This window comes from Homo sapiens, chromosome 20, assembly GCF_000001405.40.
Source record: "Homo sapiens chromosome 20, GRCh38.p14 Primary Assembly".
Lineage (NCBI taxonomy): Eukaryota > Metazoa > Chordata > Mammalia > Primates > Hominidae > Homo > Homo sapiens.
Window position 1 is genome coordinate 32,869,553 of NC_000020.11, and position 20,808 is coordinate 32,890,360.

General features: G+C 50.3%; 1 protein-coding gene across 7 annotated transcripts in view, besides 5 other annotated features; it reads left to right on the forward strand.

Moving 5' to 3' along the window:
* Positions 1-20,808, forward strand: part of EFCAB8 (EF-hand calcium binding domain 8) — a 102,923-nt gene that overhangs the window by 10,630 nt on the left and 71,485 nt on the right. For 6 of the 7 annotated variants that reach the window (NM_001143967.2, XM_024451883.2, XM_024451882.2 and 3 more), the window contains exons 4-7: positions 6,374-6,492; positions 9,152-9,255; positions 15,953-16,088; positions 19,749-19,854. In NM_001143967.2, coding sequence (NP_001137439.1) covers positions 6,374-6,492; positions 9,152-9,255; positions 15,953-16,088; positions 19,749-19,854 — 465 coding nt within the window. Of the gene's footprint in view, positions 1-6,373; positions 6,493-9,151; positions 9,256-15,952; positions 16,089-19,748; positions 19,855-20,808 lie in introns of those variants that run through there. The other variant, XM_024451881.1, reaches the window with a different exon arrangement.
* Positions 5,230-6,200: an enhancer, noted in NCBI's record as "H3K27ac-H3K4me1 hESC enhancer chr20:31462588-31463558 (GRCh37/hg19 assembly coordinates)". NCBI's record gives its function as "activates a minimal SCP1, AML or CMV promoter by ChIP-STARR-seq in primed H9 embryonic stem cells {active_cell/tissue: H9 hESC(primed)}" and the evidence as "EXISTENCE:reporter gene assay evidence [ECO:0000049][PMID:30033119]".
* Positions 6,201-7,170: an enhancer, noted in NCBI's record as "H3K27ac-H3K4me1 hESC enhancer chr20:31463559-31464528 (GRCh37/hg19 assembly coordinates)". NCBI's record gives its function as "activates a minimal SCP1, AML or CMV promoter by ChIP-STARR-seq in primed H9 embryonic stem cells {active_cell/tissue: H9 hESC(primed)}" and the evidence as "EXISTENCE:reporter gene assay evidence [ECO:0000049][PMID:30033119]".
* Positions 8,007-8,176: an enhancer, noted in NCBI's record as "experimental_60089 CRE fragment used in MPRA reporter constructs". NCBI's record gives its function as "activates a minimal promoter by MPRAs in K562 erythroleukemia cells, with activity observed for both the introgressed and non-introgressed 20:31465450 variant alleles {active_cell/tissue: K562}" and the evidence as "EXISTENCE:reporter gene assay evidence [ECO:0000049][PMID:34662402]".
* Positions 10,405-10,582: a silencer, noted in NCBI's record as "fragment chr20:31467763-31467940 (GRCh37/hg19 assembly coordinates)". NCBI's record gives its function as "represses an EF-1alpha promoter that drives an FKBP-Casp9 reporter gene in an ReSE screen in K562 erythroleukemia cells {active_cell/tissue: K562}" and the evidence as "EXISTENCE:reporter gene assay evidence [ECO:0000049][PMID:32094911]".
* Positions 17,443-18,284: an enhancer, noted in NCBI's record as "H3K27ac-H3K4me1 hESC enhancer chr20:31474801-31475642 (GRCh37/hg19 assembly coordinates)". NCBI's record gives its function as "activates a minimal SCP1, AML or CMV promoter by ChIP-STARR-seq in naive H9 embryonic stem cells {active_cell/tissue: H9 hESC(naive)}" and the evidence as "EXISTENCE:reporter gene assay evidence [ECO:0000049][PMID:30033119]".

A 20,808-nucleotide genomic window follows, 5' to 3' on the forward strand; every position in this document is an offset into this window, starting at 1 on the left:
ATAACAAATCATGTAATCATGTGCACATAGTCCTGCACACCCTGTCACCTGTGCCATATTCTGTTGGTTAGAAGCAAGTCACAGGTCCCACCACACTCCAGGGGAGGGGATCGAAGGAGGGACTGAGCACCAGGAGGCACACAGTATGGGGGCTGCTTAAGTCTCTCTACTGCAGATGACTGTGTATGTTTTCATATGTCTTTAATCATACTATATATGTAATTTCAGACTACTTTTCACTTAATGCTAATATCCTAAGGAATTTTCCATATTGCTACATAATCTTCCAAGTCATCATTACTAACAGAGGCAGTTGTTTCACTGGCTAAGCTATTCCTCTGTTTTCAGACGTTTAGGTTTTATTGAGTTGAATGTTGTAAAGATATCCTTTGTGCCTCAAGCCTTTTCTCTGTTTAGAGCTTGATTTTTCCCCCTGAGATAATACTCCTGTAAGTCAAATAATAGGAATACTTAAAGGCATCTTTCTTTATATCCACTAGACCATGCTAGGGTCCTATTTACCTGCCCTGTGAATTTCTTTTGAGATTTACAACCACACTGTGATGTGGGCAGGAAAGGATAAGAAATCTCCAGTTTACGAACGAGTAAAGTGAGACCTAGGAGGGACAATTTGTGTCTGGTCTGAAGATAGGGTGATTCCTGGGTGGTGGTCTTCAATGTCATTGTTTGCAGCCAGGAAGTGCCACCACTGTGTCTGGGAGGACTCCATTGGTACTGACCTTGGCCATCGTTTTTATTGTGTTTGTGTATGTTTTGAATAGGTAATATACCCACACAGTTCAATATATCCAAACGGTTCAAAATCCAAAAGGTACTTTTTTCATGATACTTTTTTGATATACAGAGAAAATGTTTTTCTCCCCCACCACCCATGTGCCCAGGTATGTCCCTTTAAGTTATTACTGTTTTCTGTTTCCTGTGATCTTTATTTTTAATTTTTTTAGGGACAGGGTCTCGCTTGGTTGCCCAGGCTGGAGTGGAGTGGTGTGATCATAACTCACTGCAGCCTTGAACTCCTGGGCTCAAGTGATCCTCCTGTCTCAGCCTCTGGAGTAGCTAGAATTAGAGGCATGTGCCACAATACCTGGGTAATTTTTAAAAACTTTTTGGTAGAGATGGGGTCTTGCTATGTTGCCCAGGCTAGTCTCAAACTCCTGGCTTCAAGCAATCCTTCTGCCTCTGCCTCCCAAAGTGTTGGGATTACAAGCGTTAGCCACTGCACCCAGCCTCCTATGACCTTTGGAAATAAATACAGAAGTATCTTTAGTCATTTCTACTTCTTCTTCTTTTTTTTTTTTTTCCTGAAATGGAGTCTCACTCTGTCACCCAGGCTAGAGTGCAGTGGTGCGATCTCGGCTCACTGCAACCTCTGCCTCCCAGGTTCAAGTGATTCGCCTGTCTCAGCCTCCCGAGTAGCTGGGACTACAGGCACGCACCACTGGCTAATTTTGGTATTTTCAGTAGAGACAGGGTTTCACCATGTTGGTCAGGCTAGTCTTGAACTCCTGACCTCAGGTGATCCACCTGTCTCGCCTCCCAAAGTTCTGGGATTTCAGGTGTGAGCCACCGTGCCCGGCCCTCTCTACTTCTTCTTTTAAATTTTAGTGTCCAGTCATCAGTTTCCTCCCTTTTTTTATATGCAGTGGCAGCCTATTGTCCACACTGTTCTATTCTTTGCTTTTATTTTTTTTAATTTTTATTCTTTTAAATTTCTTTTAGAGATAGGGTTTTCCTGTGTAGCCCAGGGTGGAGTGCAGTGGTGTGATGATAGTTCACTGAAGCCTCGACCTCCTGGGCTCAAGCAATCCTCCTGACTCAGCCTCCAGAGTAGCTAGGACTACAGGTGCATGCTACCACATCCAGCTAATTTTTTCATTTTTATTTTCTGTAGAGATGGTGTCTTGCTATGCTGTATTCCTTGCTTTTTTAAAAAATTAATTTTAACAAGTTTACCTCTTGCTTTTTACTGAATGTATCTTGCAGATATTTTCATATCAATATTAAAAACCCTTTCTCATTTTAAAAAACCAACTTTGGCTTTAAATGGGAGAAAAGAAAATTCACCTTTTGTTGATGTAGGATAAAGGAAAATAGGATCATTTTTCTCTTTTGAAAGTCTTTTAAGGAGGTGGATTATGAGTGCGGGCTCCATACCGTGTCTTAGGCACCCCAACTGTCACTGCGTGCCTTGGAGGGAAGAGGGGACATGCCAGTGTCCTTCTTCCTGTTCTGTAAGTTCCCTTTTCCTAGCTTCAGTCCAGGTTGTGCCAGATCTTTGAGGGAAGTCAGTGGTTCTTAAAGAGGAAAGAGTGCCTTTCAGTCTCCCCAGGAGGTTTTGAAAGCACACAAAGGCAGTTTGACTCCCAGCTCTGTCTGGAAGGAGGCCGCAGGGCTCATGGCCTGCCCCCTGGCATCTATCTTCTACCTGGAAGGACCATTAAGTGCTTAAGCACCTTGGCTGTAACTCCAGATAAACAAGATGGGTCCCTCTTTTAGCAAGGCATGATTTCTTCAGGCTTTCCATTTATTCCTTGATCCAGCAACAAATATAATAATAATTACTGTTGTATCATTGTGCTGGGTGTTGTATAAGGAGAATAGAATGGGGTTAAGAGCATGAGTTCTGGAGCCAGATTGCTAGGGTTAGTATCTGGTGCTACCACTTACCAGCTGTGTGACCTTGGGCAAGCAACCACGCCTCTCTGTGCCACATTTTCTTCCTTATGTAGGTAGTCAGGGTGCATAAGGCACAGAGAACAATGCCTGGCATGAAGTGCCATCACCGGCACATCTCAGTGCCCACAGAAACCCTCAGGGGACCAATGTTTGTTGAAGCCAGGACCCAGCCCTGGGGCAACAGGCTCATGCCTGCCATCCCAGAGCTCTCAGGCTGGAGTGGGAGATAGAAGACAGACAGACAAGAGTGAAAGCGAGCTGGGCACGGTGGCTCATGCCTGTAATCCCTGCACTTTGGGATCCCAGCGAGCTGAGGTGGGTGGATCAAGAGGTCAAGGGTTCGAGACCAGCCTGGCCAACATGGTGAAACCCTGTCCCTACTAAAAATACAAAAATTAGCTGGGCATGGTGGTGGGTGCCTGTAGTTCCAGCTACTTGGGAGGCTGAGCCAGGAGAATTTCTTGAACCCAGGAGGTGGAGGTTGTAGTGAGCCAAGATCATGCCACCACACTCCAGCCTGGGCAACAGAGCGAGACTCCATCTCAAAAACAAAAACAAAAGGCCGGGTGCAGTGGCTCATGCCTGTAATCCCAGCATTTTGGGAGGCCGAGGTGGGCGGATCGCCTGTGGTCAGGAGTTCGAGACCAGCCTGGCCAACATGGCGAAACCCTGTCTCTACTAAAAATACAAAAATTAGCCGAGTGTGATGGTGGGCGCCTGTAATCCCAGCTACTTGGGAGGCCGAGGCAGGGAGAATTGCTTGAACCCAGGATGCGGAGGTTGCAGTGAGCCGAGATCGTGCCATTGCACTCCAGCCTGGGCAATAAGAGCAAAACTCCATCTCAAAGAGCAAAACAAAACAAAACAGAATACTAAAAACAAAAAACAAAAACAAAACACAAAACAGTGAAAGCCAGTGTGTCAGCTGATAATGTCAGCAAGAACCATGGAACTGGGCAATGGCGGGGGTGGCCTCCTTAGACAGACCCTAGGAAGGCTTCCCTATGGAAGGAGCCCCCTGAACTCTGAGGATGTTGGCCAGGATGGTCTCCATCTCTTGACCTCGTGATCCACCTGCCTCGGCCTCCCAAAGTGCTGGGATTACAGGTGTGAGCCACTGTGCCCAGCCCAGAAGCACTTTTTAAAGATTGTGATTATTAAAAAAAAAGTTGTAGACAGGGGTTATTGACCCATTTGCAGACAGATCCCCTTATAGACCCAGCCAGCACGTGGAGAATTTTCTATCCTTGCCTGTTCCTCCTTTCTTCTCCCCATCTTTTCCTTCAGCCAAAGTTTATATTTTGATAATTGCTTTTAGAAGATGCAGTTTGGCTGGGTGTGGTAGGCTCACACCTGTAATCCCAGCACTTTGGGAGGCTGGAGAGGGCGGATCACTTGAGGTCAGGAGTTTGAGAGCAGCCTGGCCAACATGATGAAACCCCATCTCTACTAAAAATACAAAAATTAGCAGGAAGTAGCTTGAACCCAGGAGGCAGAGGTTGCAGTGAGCTGAGATTGTGCCACTGTACTCCAGCCTGGGCAACAGAGCGAGACTCTGTCCAAAAAAAAAAAAAATGCAGTTCACCTCTCCTTCTAGATGTCTGAATTTATTAATGTCTATTTGTTGCCATTATATACTTTTGTTCTGCTGCTTCTTTTCTTCGTTTTTATTTTATTTATTTATTTATTGAGACAGGGTCTTACTCTGTTATCCAGGCTGGAGTGCAGTGGTGAAATCTCTGCTCACTGCAACCTCCGCCTCTCAGGCTCAAGCAATCCTCCCAGCTCAACCTCCCCAGTAGTTGGGACTACAGGCATGTGCCACCATGCCTGGCTAATTTTTGTATTTTCTGTGAAGATGCGGTTTCACCATGTTGCCCAGCCTGGTCTCAAACTCCTGGGCTCAAGCCTTCTGCCCACCTCAGCCTCCCAAAGTACTGGGATTATAGGTGTGAACACTTGCTTCCAGCCTTTATTTTATTTATTTTTTAGAGACAAGGTCTGTCTCCATCACCTAGGCTACAGTACAGTGGCAAGATCATGGCCAACTTCAGCCTCTGCCTCCCGGGTTCAAGCCATCCTCCCACCTCAGTCTCTCGACCAGCTGGGACTACAGGCTCACGCCACTACACCTGGCTAATTTAAAAAATTTTTTTTGTAGATTGGGTCTCCTTATGTTTCCCAGCCTGGTCTTGAACTCCTGATCTCAAGTGATCCTCATACCTCAGCCTCCCAAAGCACTGGAATTACAGACATGAGCCACTGTGCCTGGCCTTGCTTCTACTTTTATTTTCTTTCCTTTTTCTTTTTTTGAGACAGTCTCACTCGGTCGCTCAGGCTGGAGTGCAGTGGTGCAATCTCGGTTCACTGCAACCTCTGCCTCCTGGGTTCAAGTGATTCTTGTGCCTCAGCCTCCCAAGTAGCTGGGATTACAGGCACACGCCACCAAACATGGCTAATTTTTGTTTTTGTTTTTAAAAATATTTAAATATTTATTTTCTTTCTTCCTTTCTTTCTGACAGAGTCTGGCTCTGTTGCCCAGGCTGGAGTGCGTTGGTGTGATCTCGGCTCACTGCAACCTCTGCCTCCTGGATTCAAGCGATTCTCCTGCCTCAACCTCCCAAGTAGCTGGGATTACAGGCATGTGCCACCATGCCTGGCTAACTTTTTGTATTTTTTAGTAGAGGCAGGGTTTTGCCATGTTGGTCAGGCTGGTCTCGAACTCCTAGCCTCAGGTGATCTTCCCGCCTCTGCCTCCCAGAGTGCTGGGATTACAGGCGTGAGCCACCGTGCCTGGCCTGGTTCTCCTTTTCTTTGGAGAGTTTTCTTTGTCTCAATCCTTCCTCTTTGTTAATTGTATGGAAATGGGAGTTGGTCTTTTTTAGTGCCTCCCCTCCCCACACTGCTGTGGGACCAACACAGTGCTCCCATATGGCGGGTTTTCAGCCAGGACTTGTGGGGTGGTTGAATGTTGAGCAGATAAGATGCAAAAGATAACCATGTGAGGACAGAAGCGTCCGGAATTGGCCTAGCCTGGGGTGGCTGGGGTGGATGCTGAGATGTGAGGAGGGGAGACAGGGCCAAGAGGGGCTGGATTTGAGGTTTGAGGGGCTGGAGGAGGCAGCCTCCTAAGGGCCCCGTCTTTGGCTGGAGCCATCTCCCTTCTGTGCCCCCTGCAGTGGACCAGCTGAGGACCGTAGGGGAGGCAGCACCAAGACTGCCTTGAACTGAGCACACCTGGTAAACATGGTGGTTTTTTTTTTTTTTTTTTGAGACAGAGTTTTCTCTCTTGTTGCCCAGGCTGGAGTGCAGTGGTGCGATCTCAGCTCACTGCAACCTCTGCCTCCTGAGTTCAAGGGATTCTCCTGCCTCAGCCTCCCAAGTAGCTGGGATTGCAGGTACCCACCACTGTGCCCAGCCAATTTATTTTTGTATTTTTAGTAGAGACAGGGTTTCACCATGTGGATCAGGCTGGTCTTGAACTCCTGACCTCAAGTGATCCACCTGCCTCAGCCTCCCAAAGTGCTGGAATTACAAGCATGAGCCACCGCGCCTGGCCGTAGATGTGGTCTTCAGTGTGTCCCCCTCAGCACCCAGACACTTGAGAACTCCGTGGCAGTGATGGGCCGAGGGACTTGTGAGGAAGGGGATGATGCTCTCTGTTCTCTCTTTGAAGCCCTGGGCATGGACGCCTTCATCAAGGCCATGAAGAAGGTTCTGAGCAGTGTGTCGGACGAGATGCTAAAGGAGCTGTTTTTGAAGGTGGACTCGGACTGTGAAGGCTTTGTCACCTGGGTGAGGAGGGTGCCCCTGCTTCCTCAGGTGCTGGAGGGAGGCTGGAGGGTCCAGTCCTTGACCAGTTGGTGGGGCTGAAGATGGGAGGCCATCACGATGTGGGAAAGCCTCCCTGTGGATTCTGGCCCCAGTCGGGGGACTTGCCTGGTGGAGACGTCCCTCCTAAGACCTGTGTGAGCTGAGTTCCTGGCAGCTCATTCCCCAGGGACAAGTGTCGTTGGCCCCTGTGTGAGACCTACTGAGTGTGCAGCGGTGACCCCACCTGCCACGCGGCTGTGGTGCCCACCAACCTCCCATTTGGCTTGGGGGATTCAAGCTGGTACCACGACCATCTCATGACCCTTCACTGTCACTCAGGAATAGGCCAGCCTGTGGCTGTTACATCTAAAAGTGTCAGGCTTTTACAGCATCATAATAATAATGCTTTCATGTTTTTCTGGTTCTAAACGTTCGACAATGGGAATATACAGCTTTTTAAGCATACAGAAAAGTACCAAGGATAGTCTGACAAATTGATGTAGCAAAGATGACAATGATAACTAGCATTTACACCAAGCACTGTGCTAAGCTCTCTATGTATTATTTTACTTAAACCTCATAGGAATCCTATGGGGTAGGTGCTATTACTTACCTCTATTTCGGCCGGGCACAGTGGCTCATGCCTGTAATCCTAGCACTTTGGGAGGCCAAGGGGGGTGGATCGCTTGAGCTCAGGAGTTCAAGACCAGCCTGGGTAACGTGGTAAAACCCTGTCTCTACAAAAAATACCAAAAATTAAACGGGTGTGGTGGTGCACGCCTATAGTCCCAGCTATTTGTGGAGCTGAGCTGGGAGGATTGTTTGAGCCCAGGAGGTTGAGGCTGCAGTGAGCTGAGATTGCACCACTGTACTCCAGCCTGGGTGACAAAGTGAGACCATGTCTCAGGAAAAAAACAAAACAAAACAAAAAACTTACCTCCATTTGACAGATTGGGAAACTGAGGCATGGGGAAGTTAGGAGTTTGCCCAGGGCTTCAGACTCATCAGCACTGGAGCCAGTATTCAAACCAGGGAGGGTGCCTTGAGAGTCCCTGCGTTAACTGCCGTCTCATAGCTCTCCTCAGCATAGGTATACATTCTGGGTTTTCTTCTTCTCAATTTTCTTGTTTTTATTTATTTCTTTCTTTTTTTTTTTTTTTTTTTGAGATGGAGTCTTGCTCTGTCGCCCAGGCTGGAGTGCAATGGCACGATCTTGGCTCTTTGCAACCTCTGCCTCCCAGGTTCAAGTGATTCTCCTGCCTCAGCCTCCCGAGTAGCTGGGATTACAGGCACCCACCACCACACCTGGCTAATTTTTGTATTTTTAGTAGAAACGGGGTTTCACCATGTTGGCCAGGCTGGCCTGGAACTCCTGACCTCAGGTAATCCACCTGCCTCAGCCTCCCAAAGTGCTGGGATTACAGGTGTGAGCCATTGCACTTGGCGGTTTTTATTTCTCTTAATGTTCTATAATAAACATTTCCTTTAGAACAATGAGGCCAACTGAAAGAAAAAGAATAAAAAGCAATTTAACCCCCTCGCATTCCTAGCATTCTCAGGGCTTTACCCAGTGGTCCTTGTTTACAACCCCGTTTCTTGTTACAGCTTCATATGGTGGCTGCTTTGGGCCTTGGCCATGTTTTCCAGCAGCTGGGCAGTGGAATGGAGTCTGGAGTTGCGCCAGTGGCCCTGGTGTGGGTGCTCCCTGCTGTTAACTTGATGTTTGAGCATGGGCATCTCACATCCTTACAGGGGCCTGAGTTTTATTATCCATAGGGGAGAGTGAATAAAGAGCTCCCAGGGTGATGCCAGTTGTGGGGGTGATCTGAGGATGCACTTAGCGCCTCAGGACGGCGAGGGAGACGCTGCTGTGCTCTTTCAGTGAATGCTGCGAGTAGGCCCTTCCCATACTCAGGATTCAAGAACAGGTCTGCTGTCCAAGCGCAGTGGCTCACACCTTTAATCCTAGAACTTTGGCAGACCACTTGAGCCCAGGAGTTCGAGACCAGCCTGGGCAACATGGCGAAACCCCATCTCTACAAAAAATACAAAAATTAGCTGGGAATTGTGGCATGCATTTGTGGTCCCAGCTACTCAGGAGGCTGAGGTGGGAGGATCACTTGAGCCTGGGAGATTGAGGCTGCAGTAAGCTGTGATCACACCATTGCACTCCAGCCTGGGTGACAGAGCAAGGCCCTGTCCCAAAAGGAAAAAAAAAAGGCCGGGTGTGGTGGCTCATGGTTATAATCCCAGCACTTTGGGAGGCTGAGCAATAAACTGTGATCACACCACTGCACTCCAGCCTGAGTGACAAACAGAGAAAGAGCAGGTCTGTTGCTTGGCCACCTGCCCTGGCCAGTACTTGGGAAGCAGCCACCAGAGCCTATCGGAAGGGCCTGGGAGAGATGGGGTGGTGAGGGGGACCCTGGGAATCAGGCTTGAGTTCTTTTTTTTTTTTTTTTTTTTGAGACGGAGTCTCGCTCTGTCGCCCAGGTCGGACTGCGGACTGCAGTGGCGCAATCTCGGCTCACTGCAAGCTCCGCTTCCCGGGTTCACGCCATTCTCCTGCCGAGTTCTTGAAACTGAAGGCTGAGACCATTTTGCCAATACCCTGCCTCCCTTGTGCTTTCTTTCGAGGCAGCAAAAGTATGTGGATTACATGATGCGTGAGTTCCAGGGAAAAGAGGACATGCGAAAGAGCCAGTACCGCCTGCACTTCTACCTTCCCATGACGGTCGTCCCCCTGTAAGGAGCCTCTTCCTGGGCCTTGGTGGGTGGGGTGACTGGACAAGTGCTGGTGCCAGCCTGCAGTGAGCCCCTCCCTCAATCCGTGACCTTGCTGGTGCTGACCAGGGGCTGGCATCAGCCTGCTGCCTGATGTCCTTTGGCTCATTTCAACCTCACAGCCCTGTAAGTGTTAGGACTAAGGTACGTGATTTGTCCCCATTTTATAGATGAGGCCACTGAGGTCTGGAGAGGTCAAATGGCTGGCCCCAGGCCAATAGGTAGAAAGTGGCGGGCTGCTGTGTTTGGCCCTCTCAGCCCCCATTCCCCAGTATACAGCATTGCTTCACCTGCTTCCTGTGCTAGTTGGTGCAGAGTGGGTCTGGCAGTTTCATCATAGGGGCACAGGTGGCACAGGTGGCCAGCACAGGCAGGAATAGGAGTTTCCTCCCAGGCAACAGGAAGGGAATTGCTCCTCAAGCCCCCAGCCAGGCCCTGGAGGCCTCAGAGTGGCTGGCCCCGGGAGTAGGTCCCTCTGTTACTCCTGGAGCTGGTGGCACCACCCTGCCTTGGCTTCTGCCTGACCGCTCTGCTCACTCCTCCTCCTCGTGGCTCCTCCACCCGCTGTGCCCACTGAACCCTTGCTTTGCAGGGGAGGAAAACTGTCTTTTCCCTCTACCCATCTGAGGTTCATTGGCAGGGACCTCTCTAAGCGAAGACAGAGTCACAAGGACAAGCATACAAGTTTATTTAATATAAGTTTTACATGACACGGGAGCCTCTGTAGGAAATGAAGCCCCTAAGAAACAGATAACCTGAGGGTTTTCATGCTAGGTTCAATGGAGGGTGGAAAGCTGTGGAAAAATAAGATAGGACAGAGGGGCGATGAGCCAAGCGTAATACATGGCGGAAATAGCAAGGACGTTAGTTCAGATTCTTGTCCGTGTCCCTGTGTCTTTGGGCACCCCTCACATGAGTCTTATGACCGGCTTCAGGGGAAGGTCAGACAGTCCTTCCTGAACATACTGCTTCTCAAATTCCTTTAGTTTAACAGACTCAGTATGCTGCGGTGCCCTATTTGGGGGTAGCATCTCTCAGACCCCTCAACCTCTTCTGTCTGTGCCAGGGGTTGATCTGCCTCGCTGTGTGTTCCTCCCCCTGGACTCCCTAAGCATGAGGAGCATTGCAGGGGCTCTGACCTGCTGGGCCTGGGCTGCCCGGGTCACTGGATCCCTTCCTGCAGTCCACCCTGGAGCACTGCTGCCTGGGGCAGGTGGCCAGGCAGGGAGCTGGGTCCTGAGATACAAGGTGTGGCAGCCTACATTTGTGACCAGGTCAGGAGGGAGCTGTGGGTGGGTCTGTCCTAAGAGGACCAGACCCAGACCAGGCCACGGGGAAGTCAAAGAGCTGGAAGGCAGCCCCGGTCCTCAGGCAGCCTGGGGTTTAATAGAGAAGGCGGCTTGAATGAAAGTCACCCAAGGGTAACTTTTTTTTTTTTTTGAGACAGAGTCTCACTCAGTTGCCCAGGTTGGAGTGCAATGGCTTGATCTTGGCTCACTGCAACCTCCGCCCCCCGGGTTCAAGCGATTCTCCCGCCTCAGCGTCCCAAGTAGCTGGGATTACGAACGCCTGCCACCATGCCTGACTAATTTTTTTGTATTTTTAATAGAGATGGGGTTTCACTGTGTTGGCTGGGCTGTTTGTGAACTTGGGGCCTCAAGTAATCCGCTCACCTTGGCCTCCCAAACTGCTAGGATTATAGGTGTGAGCCACTGTACCCGGCAATAACTTAAAACAAAATTTTGGTTGGGATTTAATTGAGAAATAACCAATAAATATGAATGATAAGAGATTTCATAACTGTATTTTTTAAACATTTACTGGTTTATTATAAAGAATATTACAAAGGATACAGATGAACAGATGTGTAGGGCGAGGTATGGGGAGAGGGATGCACAAGCTTCAGGAACCTCCGTGTGTTCAGCCATAGGGAAGCTCTCAGAACCCAGTCCTCTGGGGTTTTTAGTGGAAGCTTCATGACATCAGCATTCCTGCCCCTAGGGCATAGGGCAGGACTCTGGGGCTGTGGGAGTTAGGAACTGTGGGCAAAACATATATATATATAAAACACCACAGGCCCCCACTCCTGGTTTTTGAACATAGAGAACACAGCTCCCTTATAGCAAAAGAATACACAACTCAAAAGATACTGGCACATTCCTAGAGTCCCATTTAGTCATTAATAATTCATCCCATCCATCATAGTATATGAATGTCTCCCAGGCTGAGGCCATTCAGGTTTGTAGGCTTCCTTTCAATCTTGTCAGGTTCCAAAAGCCGGAGTTGGCTTGGCAAATAAACCTCTCAGGCATCTGGAATCATTGAGCTAAGAGACAATGTCATCTCTCTTTTCTTTTTTTCTTTTTTGAGATGGAGTTTTGCTCTTGTTGCCCAGGATGGAATGCAGTGGTGCGGTCTTAGCTCACTGCAACCTCTGCCTCCCGGGTTCAAGTGATTCTTCTGCCTCAGCCTCCCAAGTAGCTGGGATTACAGGCACCTGCTACCATGCCTAGCTAATTTCTATGTTTTTAGTAGAGATGGAGTTTCACCATGTTGACCAGGCTGGTCTCGAACTCCTGACCTCAAGTGATCCATCCACTTCGGCCTCCCAAAGTGTTGGGATTACAGGCGTGAGCCACCGCATCCAGCCAGTCATCTCTTGCTCTGAGAACTCCTTCGAGTTGTTGGTGTAATACTGGATTTCTCTCCATTTAATCCATTTATTAATCTTTACCCTCAGCTAGTATTCCTCCTTTTCTCCATTTGTCATTTATTTTTACCCAAACTTTTCCTCCTTTGCAAGGGACATCGGGTTCAGCCACTGTGCCTATCTGGATCATTGGTAGCAAAGCTACTGTAGCGAGTGCCTCCCCTCAGTCCATTCTCATTCATAGAGAATAGGGTTACACGAGTTCCAAACTCGCGAGCCATTTTTACCATGAGACAATATAGCTGTATTTATTTTTAACCCCCATTTTGCCAGATGGGATGAAGGCGCAATCCACCCCCATCAGGCCCTTAGGGAATTCTGACAACGTTTTAAAACATGGTGACTGTTTCTTGCTTAGAAATTATCCCTGCCCAGGCATGGTGGCTCACACCTGTAATCCCAGCACTTTGGGAGGCCAAGGTGGGTGGCTTACCTGAGGTCAGGAGTCCTGGCCAACATGGTGAAACCCTGTCTCTACTAAAAATACAAAAATTAGCTGGATGTGGTGGCAGGCACCTGTAATCCCAGCTACTCGGGAGGCTGAGACAGGAGAATTGCTTGAACCCAGGAGGCAGAGGTTGCAGTGAGCCGAGATTGCGCCATTGCTGTCCAGCCTGGGCAACAAGAATGAAAACTCCGTCTCAAAAAGAAAAAAAAAAACAGCATGCAAATGCAATTCAGCCCACTGAGGCTGATCAGTTTCTACCTTCTTTGCTGCAAGTGGCAGCCCTCCAAACAGAATATCGTCCATTCACTTTGAAACTGTAAACCCAGCATTTCCTCGTTGGTCACTTGATAGCTGTTCACGGCACACTGTCCAAGTGTCGACAGAACCCAGCAGCACCTCACACAGTTCCGGAATCAGTCCTGGGGTAAAGAGGCTCATAGCCTGTGAGTATCTCTTGCTTGCATTCCCCAGGTAGCAAGATGCTGAGTAAACCATTTCCATTTTATTGTATTTATTTTTTGGGATTTTATTTTTGAGACAAGGTCTTGCTCTGTGGCCCAGGCTAGAATGCAGTGGCATCATCTCAGGTCACTGCAACCTCCACTTCCTGGGTTCAAGTGATTCTTTTGCCTCAGCCTCCCGAGTAACTGGGATTACAGGTGGCCGCCACCACGCCTGGCCGATTTTTTGTTGTTGTTGTTGTTGTTTTGAGACAGAGCCTTGCTCGGTCGCCCAGGCTGGAGTGCAGTGGTGCAATCTCGGCTCACTGCAAGCTCTGCCTCCCGGGTTCATGCCGTTCTCCTGCCTCAGCCTCCCGAGTAGCTGGGACTACAGGCGCCCACCACCATGCCCAGCGATTTTTTTGCATTTTTAGTAGAGACGGGGTTTCACCATGTTAGCCAGGATAGTCTCAATCTCCTGACCTCATGATCTGCCCGCCTCGGCCTCCCAAAGTGCTGGGATTACAAGCGTAAGCCACCGCGCCTGGCCTAGTTTTTGTATTTTTAATAGAGACGGGATTTCACCGTATTGGCCAGGCTGATCTTGAACTCCTGATCTCAGGTGATCCACCTGCCTTGGCCTCCCAAAGTGCTGGTATTACAGGTGTGAGTCATTGCGCCTGGCCAACCATTTCCATTTTATTATGGAATTTCTGGCCTCTGTAGGCCCCATTAGAGCATTTCTCTGATATCACCCAAGACATCTGGGTATTTCAGGTTTCAAGATAATTTTATATCCTTCAGTCGTAGGGGTAGCTTCAGTTAATGTCCCATAACAAGGTAGTAAATGCCCCTCAAGAGGACATTCCCTAGTCCAAAGTCCCAGTAGCTGTTGCCGGGAGGCGCTTACAGGCTTTTGTCGTAAGCCCCAGGAAATGCTCCACAGAGGGCTATCCAGTGGAGAATTTGTCCCTGCCAGCTCTCTAGCTTCTACTCTGCACTGTGTGGGCCTGGGCAATCTTACTGGTTCCCATGTAGCATGTCCAGTTCATATAGCTTGAATGGCGATTTACATACCTCTGTTTTATAGCAGTAGGAAGGGGAGACATTCCCTAATTAGATATAGTGTTCATTCCCATGATACAATCAGATAAAAGCAACCATTTGAACATGAAGTATGTTCAAATACATAACTGTACATTTTGGCATGAACACATTGCTTAATAAGGTCAAGCCTTCACTGGTCTATTTCTTTTTTTTTTTGGAGACGGAGTCTCACTCTGTCACCCAGGCTGGAGTGCAGTGGCGCAATCTTGGCTCAGTGCAACCTCTGTCTCCCGGGTTCAAGCGATTCTCCTGCCTCAGCCTCCTGAGTAGCTGGGACTACAGGCGTGTGCTACCACACCTGGCTAATTTTTGTATTTTTAGTAGAGATGGGGTTTCACCACGTTGGCCGGGCTGGTCTTGAACTCCTGACCTCAAGTGGTCTGCCCGCCTCCTGACCTCAAGTAATCCTCCTGACCTCAAGTGATCCACTCACCTCAGCCTTCCAAAGTGCTGGGATTACAGGCGTGAGCCACTCTGCCCGGTCAGGTCTTTCTATTTCTTTGGGCCATTTAGATCTCAAGGGTGTTTAAAGGTCCTGAAACAGAATGTCAAGAGGCTTGTTCCTATATTCTCCTATTTATTTGTTCAACCTACAAACCCGGAGAGCATTTCCAACTTGGTGGGGAAAATAAATGAGTAATATTTAATTACCTTCATGAAAGAGTAACTTAAAACATTGGCTTACCTTTACTGAGCCTGGGCCGGGTGCACCAAATGCAGCCTCTCATCTGATCCCATCACAGCCCTAGGAGGTGCAGGTGCTGTCATCATGCAGGTGAGGAAACCAAGTCCTCCCTGAGATGGCCTGTCCTTAGGGCTGTCTTCCCTTTTCCTAGCTGTCACCTATCATCCCATTCTGCACAGTCTTTGGCCCTGACAGAAGTGGCAGGGTTGGAAGAGATGAGAGGGCAACTGAGAATATTCATCACAATCTACCCAGAGCCATGGGCTGAGGATAGGAGAGAGGAGAACCGTGTCCAGACACGTTTCCCTTGCTCTTCTGCAGAGATGGTAATGGCAGTTGAATTTTCACAGTGGCTTGGGTTATCCTTAAGCCCAGGGTCAGACCAGGCCTACCGGATTTGGAAAGGGCCCTGGAGGAGGGGTCACAGTGCCTAGGTTCTAGTTCCAGCCCTGCTAGTAAATAGGACATAACTCCAGGCAAATGATTATTCCCTGGGCCCCTGTAGGATGAGGTAATATCACCTGCTCTGCCAGGGCTCAAAGATTGGGCAGATCAAGTAGGAGAGTGTGTGCCATGCCATGCCATGTTGGGAAGCTGGAGTGGCAGGGACTCTCAATGGCCAGATAGCTGGCTTAGCCCACTTGGGTGCAGGGAAGCAACCCACAGAGGGGAGCATCAAAGCCTGTATGAATGCTCAAGGGCGGCCTCCTGCGAGGCCAGGCCTGCCCCCGGAGCTGTTGGCTGTAGGTTTGGTGTGTGGGACCCTAATTCCCCACTGCTCCTTGTCCACTTTGATTTCATCCTTCGGTTCTGTTCCCCCCTCTACCCCAGAGCACTAGAGCAGTTGCTAGAAAGTGCTGTTTCTCAGTTTTCAGCCTCAGGCTCCACTCTGCTCACCCTCTCCTGGGCAGTTTTTCCTATGATAGAAGCTTTGCGAACAACCTCCGTTCTGTCTCCTCTGTCCCATCACGTCGCGAGGAGGCTGGCTGGCTACTTCGCAGGATAAGCCTGCTGCTTCTCACTTCTGGAGCCCCGCCTCATATCAGCTTCTACGTGGGGCCCTTTTTCTTTTGGCCACTGTTGATGATCCAGTAGAAACCCGCTTGGAAGAGCCAGCTATGGGTTTATGGCGTGCGCATGTGCGTGCGTGTGCGTGACGCTCCGCCGGCTTTTGTCCCTCCTCCTCGGTGGCTCTCTGTTCTGCCGCAGGTGCCCCCTCCCTGAGCTGTTTTTGCTTGGGCTCTTCTCTCTTTCATCGCCTCCCACAGGAACCATGGCTGTGAGGTGGTGAAGGTGGTGTTTTTAATCCACCGGTTCAAGAAGATCGGGTGTTTCCTGACTGTCACCAAAGACGGGATCCTGCAGTTCTGGTCTGAGTCCTTCTCGCTGATGAGCTCCTTTAGGGTGAGTGGGGCCCCTACACATGGTGCACACATGGGTGATTGGAGAGCCTCTGCCTTAGCACCCCCATGGTGAAGGTGACCTGGAGCCAGGCAGATTCATGGTCTAAGCAGCCTGGACTTGCAGTCACAGCACCTGGGTCCTGACTTGGCTTCACTGTGGGAGCCACACATTTCCCTTCTGCTAAGCAGGATTCCACCTGGATGTCCATTCCCTGTGGGTGTCTCACAGGCCCCTCAAATCCATTAGCCCAAACAGGTGTCCCTTTAGCTGTCCCTGCCCACCAGGTTTCCTTCTCTTGCGTCCCCATCTCAGTGAATGGCATTGTCATCCCCAAGACTCCTGTGCTAGGGGTCAGCCACTCCCACGCTGTCCCCACGTCCTACCGATTCAGGCCTTTTGCCTAGTCCAGGCAGGAAATCATAGTGGTTATGAGCATGGGCTCTGGAGCCCAAATCCCAGGGTCAGAGTCCTAACTGTACCACCTGCAAGCTCTGTGACCTGGACAAGGTACTATATACTCCCTGTGCCTCAGTTTTCCCATCTGTCAAATGGGGCTAGTTACAGTGCTTCTTTACAGTCCTTTTGGGAACACATGATGACATAATACATGTGTAGTGCTTGGGGCAGGGCAGGGCACGCAGCAAGTCCCTGCTGGATATATTGTCTTTGTGCTGCCAGCTCTTGGCTGAGAGTAGTAAGTGAGAAGATGCTCAGGAGAACCCACTGTGTACTTGGTCGCCAGGGCCGTCCAGAATCCTCCAGCAGACGAGGAAAGCACTGCTCTCCAGGGCTCTACAGAAAGGTTGATTGAGAACACAGCCCCCAGATGAAGGGCTTTCTGAGCCTGTGTAACTGCAGAGTGATTCACAGTTGCATCAGGGCTCATCCTTTGGGGAAGAAGAGGCCTGGGTGGAACTAGGGTCTGTGGGGTCCCATGGCTCTCCTTGGTGCACCAAGGGGGAGTCACGATCACCATCCTGAGGCTGTGGCTTCCATAGCCATCCACCTTACCTTTCTGTGTGTGGACTGGGGCAGGGTGTGTTGCAGACAGAGCTCCTGCTTGTGGCTGCTACATGGTCACCAAAGCACCTCCAAAGGCTGAAGGGGACAGAGGAAGGCTCTCTGGGAAGGCGCAGCAGGCCTGGATTCTTCCTGGAGGGGCCGCTTTGGCAGGAGTAGGCCTCCCAGGACCACACACCCACTGTCATGCAGATGGAGACACCTCAAGTTTGAGGCGGGGCCTGAGTTCCACTCAAGAGCTATGTGATCTTGGGTGCAGGTCACTGAAACTCCCTAGGGCTCTTGGTTTCTCTGAATAGTGCAAGGGTTGGGAGTTACCAAGCTACTGGTGTGTGGGGGTTAGACTCCAGCCCTGGGCAGGAGAGAGGGGCTTAGGAGGGTTCTGGTCCATTGTCTTCACCGCCAGAACCACCTGGGGAGCCCGAGAGCGCAGTCCTCTGTGCTCTTGGTGCTCTCTGAGTTCTGATGGAACAGGCTCCTCTCTGCCCCTGCCTTCCCTATCCCTTCTGATTATCCATCTAGAGGAATTGGTTTACGCTCCTCCCTGCTCCTTCCTCCCAGCTTTTCAGATCGTACTTCTTTCTGCTTTCTTCAGTTCAGAGCCTGTGGTGTCATTCAAAGAGTAAAATACAGCGCCAGGCGCGGAGGCTCACGCCTGTAATCCCAGCACTTTGGGAGGCTGAGGCAGGCGGATCACTTGAGGTCAGGAGTTTGAGACCAGACTGGCCACCATGGTGAAACCCCGTCTCTACTGAAAATACAAAAATTAGCCAGGCGTAGTGGCGCACCCCTGTAATCCCAGCTACTTGGGAGGCTGAGGCACGAGAATCACTGGAACCCGGAGGCAGAGGTTCCAGTGAGCCGAGATCGCACCACTGTGCTCTAGCCTGGGCGACAGAGCGAGACTCCGTCTCAATAAAAAGAGAGTAAAATACAGATTCCTTAGGTGGCCACACCTACCTCATCTCTGGTTCCTCTCCAACTCTAAGCCGAGTGGGCTGGCCTCCCTCTTCCCCAGGACACAGCAGCTCATTTCTGCTGACCTGGCTCTGCTCGTGGCTTTCCCTGCCTGGAGTGCCAGCTCACATTCTGTCTGTGCACATGCTACACGAGTGCAGGATGCACCAGTGCTGAGCTCCTACTGAGTGCTGGGCACCACCCTCAATGCTTCAACTTTCATTATTCCATTCATTCCTCGCAACTTTGCAGAACAAATTATCGGTTAGTAAGCCAATTTGACCAGGTGACATCTGCAGATGGAAAATAGGATTCAGACCTATGGAGGGGCAGACAGGGGAAGTCAGTCTTCCTTCCCTGAGTTCCTACTTCCTCTCCCTGCAGGCAAATGCTATGACCAGTTTTGGGGTGCTCTTCCATGGCTATCCTCTCTACATATCCCCCTTTTCTTTCTTTTTTTTTTTGAGACTGGGTCTTGCTCTGTCACCCAGGCTGGAGTGGAGTGGTGCAATCACGGCTCACTGCAGCCTCAACCTCCTGGGGTCAAGGGATCTTTCCACCTCAGCCTCCCAAGTAGCTGGGACTACAGGCATGCACCACCGTGTCCAGCTAATTTTTTCTTTTTTGAGATGGAGTCTTGCTCTGTCACCCGGGCTGGAGTGCAGTGGTGTGATCTCAGCTCACTGCAGCCTCTGCCTCCCGGGTTCAGGTGATTCTTCTGCCTCAGCCTCCCGAGTAGCTGGAATTACAGGTGAGCACCACCACGCCCAGCTAACTTTTGTATTTTTAGTACAGACGGGGTTTCAACATTGGCCAGGCTGGTCTCGAACTCCTGACCTAGTGATCTGCCCACCTTGGCCTCCCAAAGTGCTGGGATTACAGGTGTGAGCCACTGCGCCCAGCCTTTTTTGTTAATTTTGTAGAGATGGGGTCTCCCTATGTTGCCCAGGCTGGTCTCGAACTCCTGGGCTCAAGTGATCCTCCCACCTTGGCCTCTGAAAGTGCTGAGATTACAGGCGTGAGCCACTGTGCCCTTTTCTTTTTAAATGCGATAATGGAAGCATATTATAATGTTGCTTTTTACCTTGGTTTGTCACTTAATCATGTCTCTTGGCAGCTCTTTATTGGCATGGGCACAGTTCCTTTGTTCTTAATGTCTGGGTGGTGTCCATGGTGTGGGTTGATAATCAGCTGTGCTTTCCAGGTGGCTTCTGGCCTGTTGCTCTAATAGCAGCTGCAGTGTCCCCTTTGAGTAGGTGCAAACACACCCATAGAAATGTCTTGGAAACAGATCCCTGGATCATGAGCTATGCATATTCAAGAGTTTGGTTGGTTTTTTTTGTGGGGGGCGGGGGGCGGACAGGGTCTCACTCTTGCCCAGGCTTGAGTGCAGTGGTGTGTTCACGGCTCACTGCGGCAAGACTTTGATAGAACTGTGAGACTGCTCCAGAAAGGGGTTTTAAAGAAGGTGTTCTTTAAGCCCATTTTACGAATGTGGAAACTGAGACCCAGGGAGGCTAGGGAGTTTATCCAAGGCCCCTATCACTAGACTTAGTGGTAGTGCTAGGCTCCATGCCAGGTCTGTGGTGGCTCCAGGCCTTGTGTGGCAGGAGAGGTTCATGGGGAGCTGCACTGGCCTGAGTATGCGTCCCAGCCCATCTCCTCTGCTCTTCCTCTGGCCAGCTTAACCAGACCCAGCAGCTCTACAACCAGCCGATGTGGGTCATTGACATGGTATGTCTGCACAATATGAACCTCGTTGCAGTTGCGTCTACCAGGCAAAAGATAGGTGAGTCCCTGGGGGCTTCCCAGCTCTGCTCTCAGCCACTGGGAGCCATGCATTTGTGCCTGGGAGAAGTCTGTTGGCTGAGCAACTGTGAACATGGATCAGAGCCCCCTGGGAGGATAGCCAGGTGGAGAGGCCTTAGTGCCAAGTAGGCAGGGGGTGGTCGGTGAATGCTCGAATGAATACAGTGATGTTGAACAGACCCAAATTTACAAGCCAGAGGCCATACTGGTCCATCTCTGGTCCTGATTCTACCTCCTGCCTCTTGCCACTCCTAGTCCAGGCCCCCTTCACTGTCACTTAAATAGCCTCTCCTGGCCGGGTGTGGTGGCTCACTCCTGTAATACCAGCACTTCAGGAGGCCGAGGCAGGCGGATCACCTGAGGTCAGGAGTTCAAGACCAGCCTGGCCAACATGGTGAAACCCCGCCTCTACTAAAAATACAAAAGTTACCTGGGAGTGGTGGCACACGCCTGTAATCCCAGCTACTCAGGAGGCTGAGGCAGGAGAATCGCTTGAACCTGGAGGTGGAGGTTGCAGTAAGCTGAGATCGCGCCATTGCACTCCAGCATGGGCGACAGAGAGAGACTCAGTCTTAAAAAAAAAAAAAAAAAAAGCCTCTCCTGCATGCCGCGCTTCCCTGATGCCCCCAAAGGCAGGATGTGCATTACAGTGCCCTCTGCAGAAAGCCTTCACCCTACCCCAGTGTTCTTAGGATGGAGGTGGGATCCTCAGTGTGGTCTGTGAGGCCTTCAGAGGTCTGAGCCCTGCCGCCTCCAGTAGTCTCCACCTGTCCCCTCCCTGTGGTGCTGAGGCCACTGTGGTCTCCTCTGGTAGGTGCTGTGGCCTGGGTCTCTGTGCTCTGCCATCCCTCCTGCCCCTCTCTCTGCCCCAACAGCCTCTGCTTTTCTTTTGGCTCTCATCTCAGAAGTTACTTCCTCCAGGAAGCCCTCCCTG